We start from the raw sequence: 12,455 nt of genomic DNA, 5'->3' as shown, positions 1-12,455 counted from the left end.
AATTGCTTGAACCCAGGAGGCAGAGGCTGCAGTGAGCTGAGATCGTGCCACTGCACTCCAGCCTGGGTGACAGAGTGAGACTCGGTCTCAGAAAAAAAAAATAAAGAGAGAAAGAAAGGTGTTGGAGGCATCCTCTCAGGCTGAGGCAACAGCTTTGCAAAGCCACAGAGGTGCAAGGGGGAATTCCAAGGAGTTCTGGCATCACCAGGGGTAATGTGTGAGGCAGAGTTGTCAAGAGATGAGACCACTCAGGGTGGAAGGTACCCAATCACTGCTGGCTTATGAGGCCTGGCTTTGAGTGAGGGCTAGGTGCCAGGGCAGGGGAGTGGCATGGTCAGATGTGAGCTGAGAACGACCCCTAGGAGAGGCTGACCTGGGGAGCAGCCAGGGGTGTGACAGGACTGTGGGGAGCAGGAGAGGGACTTGACCTGGAAGACTCAGCTGGCTTCTGGGGGCAAGCAGAAGTTTGCCACTGCTGCTGCGGCATGTCTGGGCGAGGCAGAGAGACGTGGGCAAGTCCCTGGCCCAGTCTGGTGTCCTCAGTTTCCTTATGTGTAAAGAGAAGGGTGTGGTGATCTCCAGGCCAGGGGCTGAGAGCCATTGAGGCCACCCACTTCCTGGTCCTGTCCGCCCCACTCCCACGATGTACCAGGAGCTGGGGATGCAGTGACAAGAAGTGGAAGCCACAGCCCAGCTCTCATGGGCAGTGGGTCCGGGAGTGGACATGCAGTGATGACCTAGGTCTGGGCTGAAGAAGCTTTTCCCAGCAGTATGTAGCCCAGCACGCAGGAGAGATGCACCAGGAAAGGGATCTTAGCCGTTGACAACTGCCCTCCCATAGCAGCCCCACTGGGGCCAGGTTTCTTGGGACAATCAATGCCATCATTCCGGGAAGCCTACCCCAGGAGAGGCCCTGATTTCCCCCCATTTGCATAGCCACAGTAACAGGAAACAGGACTCACATTGCCTCATCAGTGCGGGCTGGGCCAGGCCAGGCCAGCTCAGGGCTCAGCTTGGATGTCCCAGCCTGGGCTGCCTCCTGGACAGCTGGCAGAAGCCCCATCTGGGCACTCCATCCGGTGGTGGCCAGACAGGTGGCCCGGGAGCTCCAAGGCTGTCCCCAGGCCCACCTGGATGTCCGACATGAAGGCTCCAAGCAGCTCAGCAGCATCCCCTGGGAAGGAAGGGGGGCTGTCAACAGTGACAGCTGGGTGCTCTATTGGGGTCAAAGTGCGCCGAGTTACTGCCAAGCTATCCTGGTTCCCAGAAATGATGTGTAGAACTTCCTGCCGCAAGGAGTGTGGCTATCTGCTACCTGGCCCCCCTCCATCCTCTCCCAGTTTCCCCCAGCTCCCTTCCAGAAAGCCAGGCTTTCAGCAGGAAGAGTGTTTCTCGGATGCCGTTCACTGGGTGCTGGGTGTGACCCAAGGCTCCACGTGCTGAGCTGGGTCCAGAAACCAGGAGTTTGGGGTGCAGAGAAGGGGCAAGCTTGAGTTTAGCCTCATCAGAGCCAGGTGCCCCTGGAGCCCTGGACCTCATGGGCCTCAGTCCTCCCACATCTGCCATGGGGATACTTGTGACTACCTCTCAGCGTTGACAGGAGGCACTAAAAGGGAAGGCGCTGTAGCAGTGCTGGTGACTGCGATACTAGCGCTCACGTCTGCCTTAGTCCCAGTGCTCCGGCCGCGTTGGGGCAGCTATTGAAAGAGAAGCCAGATTTCAACATTATATGAAGAGACAATGTGGTGGAAGTTTAGCCCTGTCCAAGATACCCTGTGGACACAGCCTGACCTGGGTTCGGATCTTGACTGTGCCACTTGCTGGCCGTATGACCCAGGGTGAGCTCCTCAGCTTCCCTGAAGCTCAGTTTCTGCATCTGTAGAATGGGAATGAATAGCGATGTCCATCCGTTAGGGCTATGGTAAGGAGTCGATGAGACACCACATGAAAGGGACCCGATAAAAGGGAAGGTGTGGATGACGGGGTCACGAGCCCACTGAGAGGATGTAAAGCTCAACCCTATAGCGGCTCCTGTGGCAGAGGCTGGGGTTATGGAAATAAGCCCCCGTGGCCGTGTTAAATCAACCCCCCAGAGAAGTCAGAGGCAGTGAGGAGGCAGGAAGCACTCAGTCCTAGACTAGGGATCCAGAAGACTAAGGAAGGCAAATGCCTGGCCAGTGACATCTGAGGAGGCTTCCTGGAGGAGGGGATGTCTGAGCTAGTGTCAAGGATGGACAGGTTTGGCCACCAACGTGAAAGGTCACATCCCAGGAAAGCAGCCAGCTGGGGCAAAGGCAGGGTGACCAATGTTTCTCTGCAGGCGTGGGAAGGACAAGCCACGTGGTTGAGGGATCACCCACTGCCTCCCCCACAGACCCCTGACTCCACCTCTCAGAGCCCTGAGCCTCCAGTCATGGGCACAGCCATTCTCTCTCTCACTCCAGGTCTTCAGACCCCTAGCAATGGGGATGCCCCCTTTCCTGGCATCACAGGAAAAAGTGGTGGCACATACCTGGTGGTATGGACCCTGTCCTTCTCCATGGGCCCCTGCTCTTCCTCCTCAGCATCATCGTTGCCAACATTGTAATTTGTAACTGTTTTCTGGTCATTTTTCTATGCAAATAATTTTTGAATGAACAAAATGGGGTTATGGTTTCCAAACTCTTACAACTTGCTTTTTCCTCTAAGGATACACATACCATGAGCATTTTCCCAGGGAAGCAATACTCCAAATCACCATTTTATTTTATTTATTTTATTTTGAGATGGAGTCTCATTCTGTCGCCCAGGCTGGAGTGCAGTGGTGGCTCACTGCAACCTCTGTCTCCCGGGTTCAAGCGATCCTCCTGCCTCAGCCTCCTCAGTAGCTGGGATTACAGGCATGTACCACCACGCCTGTTTTTTTTTTTTTTTGAGATGGGGTCTTGCTCTGTCGCCCAGGCTGGAGTGCAGTGGTGCAGTCTCAGCTCACTGCAAGCTCTACCTCCCGAGTTCACGCCATTCTCCTGCCTCAGCCTCCCCAGTAGCTGGGACCACAGGTGCCTGCCACCACGCTGGGCTAATTTTTTGTATTTTTAGTAGAGATGGGGTTTCACCGTGTTAGCCAGGATGGTCTCAATCTCCTGACCTTGTGGTCCGCCCACCTCAGCATCCCAAAGTTCTGGGATTACAGGCGTGAGCCACCGCGCCCGGCCTATGCCCGCCTAATTTTTGTGTGTTTAGCAGAGACAGGGTTTCACCATGTTGGCCATGCTGGTCTTGAAATCCTGACCTCAGATGATCTGCCTGCCTTAGCCTCCCAAAGTGCTGGGATTACAGGTGTGAGCCACCTCGCCTGGCCTCCAAATCACTATTTTAATGGCCCCATGGCATAGATGGACTGTCATGAATTTAACCAAGTCTGTAATCTCAGCAAACATTTCTTCAGGAGGGTAAGATGTGTGCAGCCAAGAGTACAAGGGTCCAGAGTCCTTCGGTTTGGTTTCTGACTCCACTTTTTTGTGTTTAAAGAGATGGGGGTCTCACTATGTTGCCCAGGCTGACCTCGAACTCCTGGGCTCAACTGATCCTCCTGCCTTGGCCTCTGGAGTAGGTGACTCTACTTCTTAGAGCTGTGTGACTCTGGACAAGTTACTCAACCTCTCTGTTTTTCCTTGGTTTCCTGAAAGATGAGAAACAGAGGAGCCCCTGCAGATGCCTAGTCATGAGACTCCCTTGAGCTCTTGGGTGTGTGGTGCTTAATGAAGCGCAGCGCCCTGGAGACAGACAGGAGGTGCCACGTGGATGGGGTAAGGGGTATTGTTGCTCTTTGTTGTTGCTATTTGGGCCAGGTATTGATTTTACAGTCTGGAGAGTGAAGGGCTCATGCCAAGTGGCATGAATGTTCAGAGTGACCACGACGGTTCAGTGAGACCTTGGTGCCTCTTCCCCTCCCTGGCCCCTTCCACGGAAAGCATCTGAGTCCCTTGCAGGGGGCAGGTCTCCAAATTCCCAGAAACATCTGGGGCTGGTTGGCCTCACAGGCCAATTACACCAGTGTCCCAGGAGTCTAGAAAGACGTTCTAGAAAGACACTCTCTGGGGAGAAAACCATACTGAAGTCTGCCCAAAATGCCACCATCACCCACCCCCTCCCTCTGGGTTCAGCACTGCCCTCTCCCTGGGTTCCCCTTTGCATGTTAAATTAATGCCCCAGAGAGGCTCTGCAGACGGCCCCAGTGACGGCCACCACTGGAGAGACTCCCTGGATGGATGGACAGATGGATGCAGCCCCAACTCCCCCACTCCCACGGGGCCCCAGCCAGAAGGCAAGAAAGCCCCTACCCAGCCTCTAACTGCTCAAAATCCCCAGCACCAAATTCCCCCAGCCTGGGGATCGCCAGGAGGGAGCCCTGCGTCCCCAGTGTTGGCCCCACCTCCCTTCCCCCAGGGGGCAGGTGCAGCCTAGCTCTGCTCTAGTGTCCCCTGGGCACTTCTGTTCCCAGACCAGGAGCCTCCCTCAGCCCCAAGCCTGGGCACCCCAAGGCTCTCCCAGGCTTGGGTGGCAGCATCCCTGGCTCTCCTTTGCAGGCTGCTCAGCCTCTCTGAGCCGTGATTTTCTGCAAAATAGGAATAATGGGACTATTAGATCGAATGACACATGAGATTGCCATTTTTGTGGGTCAAGATCAGACAGGCAATCAGCAATTTCTTATGGTTTCAGCAGACGGCTGCCTTCGGTAGGGAGCTGAGGACTAAATGAAGAAACAAACGAGCAGCCCTGGGCACAGAATTTGGCCCAACAAACTTTTCATTGTCATTCCTATTACTTATTGTGGTGGATGGGGCTATCCCTCTCCCACTTCAAGGATCAGCAAGCCCTGCCACTCGGACGAGGCTCCCTCTGAGGCCAGGAAGGGGCCAGGGGGCCCTTCCTGAGTCCTGCCCACAGCCCCTGACTCGCCAGGCTGGACACTCCTTGCTGAGTCTTTTAACTGTCATTTCCCCCAAAAAGCCCTTAATCACCCTCTGCCGGGCCAGGGGGAGGAACCGGGAGCTGCAGGAGCTGCAGGCTGGCCTGCAGGAAGATGACTCAGGGGAATCCTTCGATCCCCTTGGCACGATGTGGGGGAGTGATTAAGGGGGGCGTCACAGGTGTGCGCCATGTGTCCGTCACCTGGCCGCTGAACTTTTTCTGAGCTGGAGCTGCTGGAAGCTGACTCAGGGGGTGGGCCTCTCCTGCCCTCCTTCCCCTCCCCAGGGCCAGGTCCCCTCTCTGTGGTGCTGGGAGGCAGGCCCTGAGCATTTCATTCATTGATTCATTTCTTTCATTTGTCCATTCATTGTTATCAGATCGATCAGTGGCTCACTTGTGTGACTCATCTGTGGGTCCGGCCCTTCATTCATTAGTAATAAACTCCATGACCATTCGCCCAGCCTGTCCTCTGGGCCAGCTGCCTTGTCAAGTGGGTTTTCTCATTCAGTCCTCTCAGTGCCCTGGAGGAAGAGCTATTATTACCCCCATTACATGGAGAGGAAAACTGAGGCATGGGAAAACTCAGTAACGCCCTGTGGAGTCCGGATTCAAATCCAGACCTGCTGCTGTCTCTAGAAAAAAAAGTCACCGTCCCCCAAAGCTGTGCCTCCCCTTCTGTGTTCCTGTAGCCACGTGGCCAGGTAAAAGTTACCCAGGCCAGCCTCACCCCACGAGAGCAGGGACCTCAGCTCACCACCTGGGTCCAGCACAGGCTTCCTCCCCTTGACCCTGGGAGAGTCGAGTGTCTCTTTAGGCTAAGTAAGAGCCCCCAAACCTGAGTTCCATCCCCTGTGGAAAGCCAAGCCTTCCCCTGCAGATCTCTAATTTCCAAGGACTCACATCCTCACAGCCTCTCCAGCCCCAGTCTCCCAAATGTACGGAACTGGACCGGATTTCCTATAGTCCCACCTCTGCACATGGGCTCCCTCTGCTCCTCAATCCCGTGGACCCCAGCAGAAATGTCAGTTCTTCCCTGTATCCCTCAAAACAAAACTCATGCTCCCATGAGGCATTTGTGAGAAGCGGTGGTGACTGAGGATTTGGGGGTGTAAACGGGAAGGGGGTTTTGCAGCCACAGAGCTGCGATTTCATATTGACATCAGATCTATAAGCCACTCCAGCACAGACCACCCAGATGGACCTGCTGTGCCTGATGCTCTGTCTGTGGATTCTCCCGTGTGGTGGATTTTTCTGGTGGTTTCTAAGCTTTATTGTGAGCTCATCTTCAGCGGGGAGATTTGCTGCGTGTGCCTGTGCACGTTTGGGCTCCCACACCCCTCAGGACGAGACGTTTCCCAAAAGGGATGCGTTGAGTTTGAGTAATACTCCAGGGATTTCACCAGCTGGGGACCTGCATTCACACTGAATTCCCGGCATGAGATTCCAGCAACCCAGAGTAGAATCAACCCAGACCTCAGTCTCCCCTGCCCTGCCCCACCCCCACACTCCCAGGCTCAGACTTTCAATTTCTTAGACTTCCCGCTATCCAATCTCGGGCTGTTCCTAGGCTGGGCAGAGGGTGATGTACCTTCCCATGGGATGGGGGAAGCCCTTCAGGGTCCTGCCTTCATACTGGGGTTTCTGTTCCTGCTCCCACGAAAGTCATGACCAGGGATCAAGGCCAGTCTGAGTCCCTTTCCCCTTCCCCACCCCACCCTTCCACCTTGAGTTCCATTTTTATTAGTGACCCCTGAATTTGCTTTTCTTTGAGCTTTTTATTTTTCACTTTTTTTATTTTTGAGACAGAGTCTCGCTCTGTCACCCAGGTTGGAGTGCAGTGGCGTGATCTCGGCTCACTGCAATCTCCGCCTCCTAGGCTCAAAGGGATTCTTGTACTTCAGCCTCTCGAGTAGCTGGGATTACAGATGTGCACCACTGTGCCTGGCTAATTTTTTGTATTTTTAGTAGAGATGGGGTTTTGCCATGATGGCCAGGCTGGTTTTGAACTCCTGACCTCAGGTGATCCGCCTGCCTCAGCCTCCCAAAGTGCCGGGATTACAGGCGTGAGCCACTGTGCCTGGTCTCTTTTGAGCTTTTTAAAAACATTTGTGGCCGGGAGTGGTGGCTCACGCCTGTAATCCCGGCACTTTGGGAGGCCAAGGCAGGTGGATCATGAGGTCAGGAGTTCAAGACCAGCCTGGCCAAGATGGTGAAACCCTGTCTCTATTAAAAATACACACATTTGCCGGGTGTGGTGGCACGTACCTGTAATCCCAGCTACTCGGGAGGCTCAGGCAGAGAAATGCTTAAACCTGGGAGGCGGAGATTGTGGTGAAGCAAGATTGGTGACAAAGTGAGACTCCATCTCAAAAATAAAATAAAATAAAATAAATAAATAAATAAATAAATTGCAATTATTTATTTAATTTTTAGAGACAGGGTCTTGCTCTGTTGTCCAGGCTGGAGTACAGTGGCACAATCACAGCTCACTGCAGCCTCAACCTCCTGGGCTCAAGTGACCCTTCTGCTTCAGCCTCCTGAGTAGCTGGGACCACAGGTGCGTGCCACCATGCCTGGCTAATTTTTTTGTTTTTTTGGATAGAGATGGGGTCTCGTTATGTTGCCCAGGCTCTTCTTAAACTCCTGGAATTGAGCCATCCTCCCAACTTGGTCTCCCAAAGTGCTGGGATTACAGGCATGAGGCACCAGACCCAGTGGGGGCTTATCAATAGATATTTTAAAATCAGTTTCATTGATCCTGTATTAACTAGCTCCCTGGAAACCTCACCATGGCTTCCCACTGCCCTCAGGATCAAAACCTGGCTCCTTGGAGCCCTAGAGGCCCCACACATGACTTCATCATTTCACTTGCTTAATGCCAGGAAGGAAGCATTACTGTGTCCGAGGTGTGGATGAGGAAACTGAGGCATGGAGAAGGTGGTGATGTCGAGGAGGGGCAGAGGAGCCCTGTCTGATGCAGGGTGGCGCGGGGGGAAAGGAGACTCAGAATCCAGGCCTCCTGCTCAGTCCATCCCCCTGGGTGCCAGTCCCCAAGCTGTCTGCTGTAGCCGAGGGGGTTGGGACACACAGGAGCCACTGCCTGAGTCTGCCTAACCACTCCCTCCCTTCCCCAGAAGCAGACACGTGGTGAGACACACCCGGTCACTGGCACCTGTGAATGGCAAGTCAATACTGGGTGTGGCCCTTCCTTCTAGGAATAAGCTCCCTAGAGGTTCCCTTCACAGAAGTGGGCAGGGTCCTGCTCGTCACAGTCTGTCCCCCGGCCAGACAAAGGGCTCCATGCCTGGCCTCAGCACTCCCTAAGCCCACAGGGGACCCTGTCGTGGAGCTCCTCTGTATGCCCAGGCTGTGCAGGCATCCAGGTTTTGGCAGTGAGGATGGAGGGTCAGCGATTGAGAGCCTGAGCTGTGAGGTCAGGGGGACCTGAGTCCTAAGCATCTCTGGGATCTCGGGCAGTTTGCTTTCTCTCTCTGACCCTCGGTTTCACCATCTGTACAATTAAGCCAATGATAGCACCCACTTCATGGGGCACAGTGGGAGAGACAGAAACTGTAGGAAAAGCACTTGGTCCCTCTCCTCTCCTTTTTCCCCTCCCCTTCCCTCCCCTCCCCTTTCCTTTTTCCTTCCCTCCCTCCTTCGTTCCTTCCCTCCCTTCCCTTCCTCCCTTCCTCCCTTCCTCCCTTCCTTCTTTCCTTCCTTCCTTCTTTCCTTTTTTAAAAAAAGACAGGGTCGTGCTCTGTTGCCCAGGCTGGAGTGTAGCAGTGCGATCACAACTCACTGCAGCCTCTAACTCCTGGGCTTAAGCAATCCTCCCACCTCAGCCTGTTCAGTAGCTGAGAATACAGGCACACGCCACCCTGCCTGGCGAATTTTGGTACTTTTTGTGGAGATGGGGGTTTTGCCCAGGCTGGTCTCAAACTTCTGGACTCAAGCGATCTGCCTGCCTTGGCATATTCTTACGCTAACCTGCCTGGGTCTTGGGTTCTTTGTGAAATGGGGGAACAACAGAGCCTGCTCCTAGGGTCGGAGGGCAGAAGGAGCTGATGGGTGGGAAATGCATGGAGCAGGGCCCACTGGCGTGGGGCTGTGCAGGGCAGCTTGTTTCTCTTCTCTCCCGACGCCCATTCCTGCTGATGGCCGGGACCCTCCTCTTGTCACTTAAAGGTCTCTATGCTCTCGCATAGTCTCTTTCTGGGCTCACTCTTTTGATTCAGGACTCCTGTTTTTGTTTTCTTCCCACCCCATCCCTTTCCCTAGGGGTGGCGTCCTAATGGGAGAGGGGTCTTCTGAGCCTCTGGTTGGCTCTGGGGCTGTGCCTGGCCTTGGGTGTCCTGGAGTGGAATCTGTCTGGCTGTGGCTGGTCCCACTGTGGCATTCATTCTGGGCAGCATGGTTCTCGGGTTTGGGGCCTTCTGGAGTGTGGGAGACATTGCTAGATCCCCCAAGGTGTTCAGTTCTCTCCTCCTGGGCGTGTGCCCCCTTGCAGGTCAGTGGGGTCCTGGGCCTTGCTTCACGGAGTGAAATGTGAGCAGAAGCAACCTGTGTCTTCCTGGGCTGTCATTTCAGAGCTGGTGGCTCTCTCCAGGCTCCTTCCACTGTGGGAAGCCCTGAAACCTCATGTTGAGGCGGCAGCATTGTAAGAGCGTGAGGCCTCCATCAGCCTGGGAACCTGAGTGACTATAATGGGCTCGGTCCCTGCCACCCCATGCGGGACACGTGGTGGGTCCAGAACCACAGCCCGGCTGTGCTGAGCCACTGTGAGTTGAGGCTTGACTCTGCAGCACAACCTAGGCTGCCCTAACCAAGACACACAGACACCTAGGCCTCTCGCTGGTTCTGGGATTCCCAGGACCTGGGTGCAGGGGGACTTCCGGCCTTTTCTACGCACCTCTTATAGGCAGTGGGTACTGGGTGGGCACAGTCTCAGGCCCACTCTTAGCCTGTGTGTTCACGGGTCGCTCCCAGTCCCAACAAGAAGCAGCTCACAGGCTCGTCTGATTTCCACTGCACCTGCCCACTCCCATCCTCTGTGGGCTTTCACAGCCCACACACTCAGGGTCCAGCCAGGGCTGCTGTCTTCCTTTCTTCACCTCCCCAGAACGGGCACTTCCCACACTCCCTACCTGGTATTAAAATGATCTTTGGCCAAGCGCGGTGGCTCACACCTGTAATATCAGCAATTTGGGAGGCTGAGATGGGTGGATCACCCGCGGTCAGGAGTTCGAGACCGGCCTGGCCAACATGGTGAAACCCCTTCTGTACTAAAAATACAAAAATTAGCAGGGCATGGTGGCGGGCACTGTAGTCCTAGCTACTCGAGAGGCTAAGGTAGGAGAATCTCTTGGACCCAGGAGGCGGAGGCTGCAGTGAGCAAAGATTGTGCCACTGCACTCCAGCCTGGGTGGCAGAGAGAGACTCCATCTCGAAAAAAAAAAAAAATCTGCAAGTCTGATCTCCTTTCTGGACTCAATGTTCCTCCAGGATTGTCCCACTTACCAGCTGTTTGGCCTTGGGCAAGTTAACAAACCTCTCTGTGCCTCATGGTCTTCATCTGGAAAGACATAACATTGTTGGGAGAATTGAATACATTAATACACATAAGGCACTTAGTAAAGCAATGCCTTTTACTTGTGTTGCTTATCTACTGCCACATAACAAATTATCCCCAAAGTTTAACAGCTTAAAATAATAAACATTCATGATTTGGCACTGTTTCTGAGGGTCAGAAGTCAGGGAGTGGTTTCTCCAGCTGGTTCTGGCTCAGCCTCTCCCATGAGGCTGCAGTTAGGATATGGGCAGGGGCTGCATCATCTGAAGGTTTGGCCGGGGCTGGAGGCTCTGCTTCTGAGATGGCTCACTCACCTGGCTGTTTGCTGGAGGCCTCAGCTCCTTGTCACATGGGTCTTCCCACAGGGCTGTTTGAATGTCCTCGTGACACGACAGCTGACTACCCCCAGGGAAAGTGACCTGAGAGAGAGGAAAGAGGAGGCTGCAATGCCTTTTATATCCTAATCTTGGATGTTACACATCATTGCTTCCACATCTATTCATTAGAAGTGGGTGCAGTCTACACGTAGAGGAAGGACAGTTAAGCTCTATCTTTTGAAGGCAGGGGTGTCAAAGAATTTGCGGACATATTTGAAAGCCACCAAGTTGTCCAGGTGCGGTGGCTCATGCCTATAGGACCAGCACTTTGGGAGATGGAGGTGGGAGGATTGCTTGAGCTCAGGAGTTCGAGACCAGCCTGGGCAACACAGCGAGACCTCTTCTCTACTTAAAATAGAAAATATTAGCCAGGTGTGTTGGTGCATGCCTGTAGTCTTAGCTACCCGGGAGGCTAAGGTGGGAGGATCACTTGAGCCCAGGAAGTCAAGGCTGCAGAGAGCCATGATCGTGCCCCAGCACTCCAGTCTGGGTGACAGAGTGGGATCCTGTCTCCAAATAAAAATAGAAATAAAACCACCAAGCTGCTGAATCCACATGGGTTGCTGTTATTACTGCCAATCCTCTTGCTCCTTCCAAGGGGCCTGAGCACAGTAAGTACATAATGAATGCTTATTGAAAGTATGAGTGGACTGGGCATGGTGGCTCACGCCTGTAATCCGAACACTTTGGGAGGCTGAGGCGAGTGGATCACTTGAGGTCAGGAGTTCGAGATCAGCCTGGGAAACATGGTGAAACCCTATCTCTACTGAAAAATACAGAAATTAGCTAGGCATGGTGGTGCACACTTGTAATCCCAGCTATTCAGGAGAATAGCCCCTGCCCGTATCCTAACTGCAGCCTCATGGGAGAGGCTGAGCCAGAACCAGCTGGAGAAACCACTCCCTGACTTCTGAGGCAGGAGAATCACTTAAACTCGGGAAGTGGAGGCTACAGTGAGCCGAGATCATGCACCCCAGCCTGGGCGATAGAGCGAAACTCTGTCTGGAGGATAAAAAAAAAAGGAAAGAATAAAAAGACAAAGGAAGTATGAGTGCATGAATGGATGTGGGAGTGAAAAACATGAGCTAGAAGAGGAAGGAGAGGAGGCAGAAGGGAGGAAATGGTGTGAGGGGGAGGAGGGGCTGTGGGTTGTGCCTTCTGTGTTTCAGGCTTCAGCTCCTCTCCCTCCCTTGGCCTGGGGTCTGCCTATCCATCACCCTATCCCAGCCTGACCCCCAGGCTCCCAACCCTCTGAACCTCTGCCCTCCATCTGCCCCCTTGAGCTTGCTTTGGCACGAGACAGCCCCTGTTCTTGCTGTGGCTTCTGTGCCTCATGGTTCTAACATGGCTGCCCCAGCCCCATACATCACCTCCTTAGGAGAATAGATCCTGAGGGGGGAAAATATCTTTCTCTTCCAGGATCTTTAATTTGTCAGGGAGGAAAATCTTTTCAGGAAGCTCTCCCCTCTCCATCCAAAATTCCCCTACTCCTTATATCTCACTGGGTAAAAGAAGGTCACATGCTTACCCCCTGGACCAATCACTGGAAGGAAAAG

At 53.9% G+C, this 12,455-nt stretch overlaps 9 annotated features.

Annotated features, from left to right (window-relative positions):
* Positions 336-405: an enhancer, noted in NCBI's record as "active region_10418". NCBI's record gives its function as "activates an Ori minimal core promoter by ATAC-STARR-seq in GM12878 lymphoblastoid cells {active_cell/tissue: GM12878}" and the evidence as "EXISTENCE:reporter gene assay evidence [ECO:0000049][PMID:35858748]".
* Positions 416-505: an enhancer, noted in NCBI's record as "active region_10417". NCBI's record gives its function as "activates an Ori minimal core promoter by ATAC-STARR-seq in GM12878 lymphoblastoid cells {active_cell/tissue: GM12878}" and the evidence as "EXISTENCE:reporter gene assay evidence [ECO:0000049][PMID:35858748]".
* Positions 826-965: an enhancer, noted in NCBI's record as "active region_10416". NCBI's record gives its function as "activates an Ori minimal core promoter by ATAC-STARR-seq in GM12878 lymphoblastoid cells {active_cell/tissue: GM12878}" and the evidence as "EXISTENCE:reporter gene assay evidence [ECO:0000049][PMID:35858748]".
* Positions 3,779-3,858: an enhancer, noted in NCBI's record as "active region_10415". NCBI's record gives its function as "activates an Ori minimal core promoter by ATAC-STARR-seq in GM12878 lymphoblastoid cells {active_cell/tissue: GM12878}" and the evidence as "EXISTENCE:reporter gene assay evidence [ECO:0000049][PMID:35858748]".
* Positions 3,892-4,688: an enhancer, noted in NCBI's record as "H3K27ac-H3K4me1 hESC enhancer chr16:11296313-11297109 (GRCh37/hg19 assembly coordinates)". NCBI's record gives its function as "activates a minimal SCP1, AML or CMV promoter by ChIP-STARR-seq in primed H9 embryonic stem cells {active_cell/tissue: H9 hESC(primed)}" and the evidence as "EXISTENCE:reporter gene assay evidence [ECO:0000049][PMID:30033119]".
* Positions 4,681-5,880: an enhancer, noted in NCBI's record as "P300/CBP strongly-dependent group 1 enhancer chr16:11295121-11296320 (GRCh37/hg19 assembly coordinates)". NCBI's record gives its function as "activates an origin of replication core promoter dependent on BRD2, BRD4, P300/CBP, MED14 and CDK7 cofactors, with strong dependence on P300/CBP, by STARR-seq in HCT116 cells {active_cell/tissue: HCT116}" and the evidence as "EXISTENCE:reporter gene assay evidence [ECO:0000049][PMID:35650434]".
* Positions 7,648-8,148: an enhancer, noted in NCBI's record as "H3K4me1 hESC enhancer chr16:11292853-11293353 (GRCh37/hg19 assembly coordinates)". NCBI's record gives its function as "activates a minimal SCP1, AML or CMV promoter by ChIP-STARR-seq in naive H9 embryonic stem cells {active_cell/tissue: H9 hESC(naive)}" and the evidence as "EXISTENCE:reporter gene assay evidence [ECO:0000049][PMID:30033119]".
* Positions 9,185-9,693: an enhancer, noted in NCBI's record as "H3K27ac-H3K4me1 hESC enhancer chr16:11291308-11291816 (GRCh37/hg19 assembly coordinates)". NCBI's record gives its function as "activates a minimal SCP1, AML or CMV promoter by ChIP-STARR-seq in primed H9 embryonic stem cells {active_cell/tissue: H9 hESC(primed)}" and the evidence as "EXISTENCE:reporter gene assay evidence [ECO:0000049][PMID:30033119]".
* Positions 9,694-10,203: an enhancer, noted in NCBI's record as "H3K27ac-H3K4me1 hESC enhancer chr16:11290798-11291307 (GRCh37/hg19 assembly coordinates)". NCBI's record gives its function as "activates a minimal SCP1, AML or CMV promoter by ChIP-STARR-seq in primed H9 embryonic stem cells {active_cell/tissue: H9 hESC(primed)}" and the evidence as "EXISTENCE:reporter gene assay evidence [ECO:0000049][PMID:30033119]".

The sequence above is a fragment of the Homo sapiens genome, chromosome 16, assembly GCF_000001405.40.
Source record: "Homo sapiens chromosome 16, GRCh38.p14 Primary Assembly".
NCBI classification, from domain to species: Eukaryota; Metazoa; Chordata; class Mammalia; order Primates; family Hominidae; genus Homo; species Homo sapiens.
The sequence above is the reverse complement of the archived record's forward strand: the minus strand, read 5'-3'. Positions and strand labels throughout refer to the sequence as shown.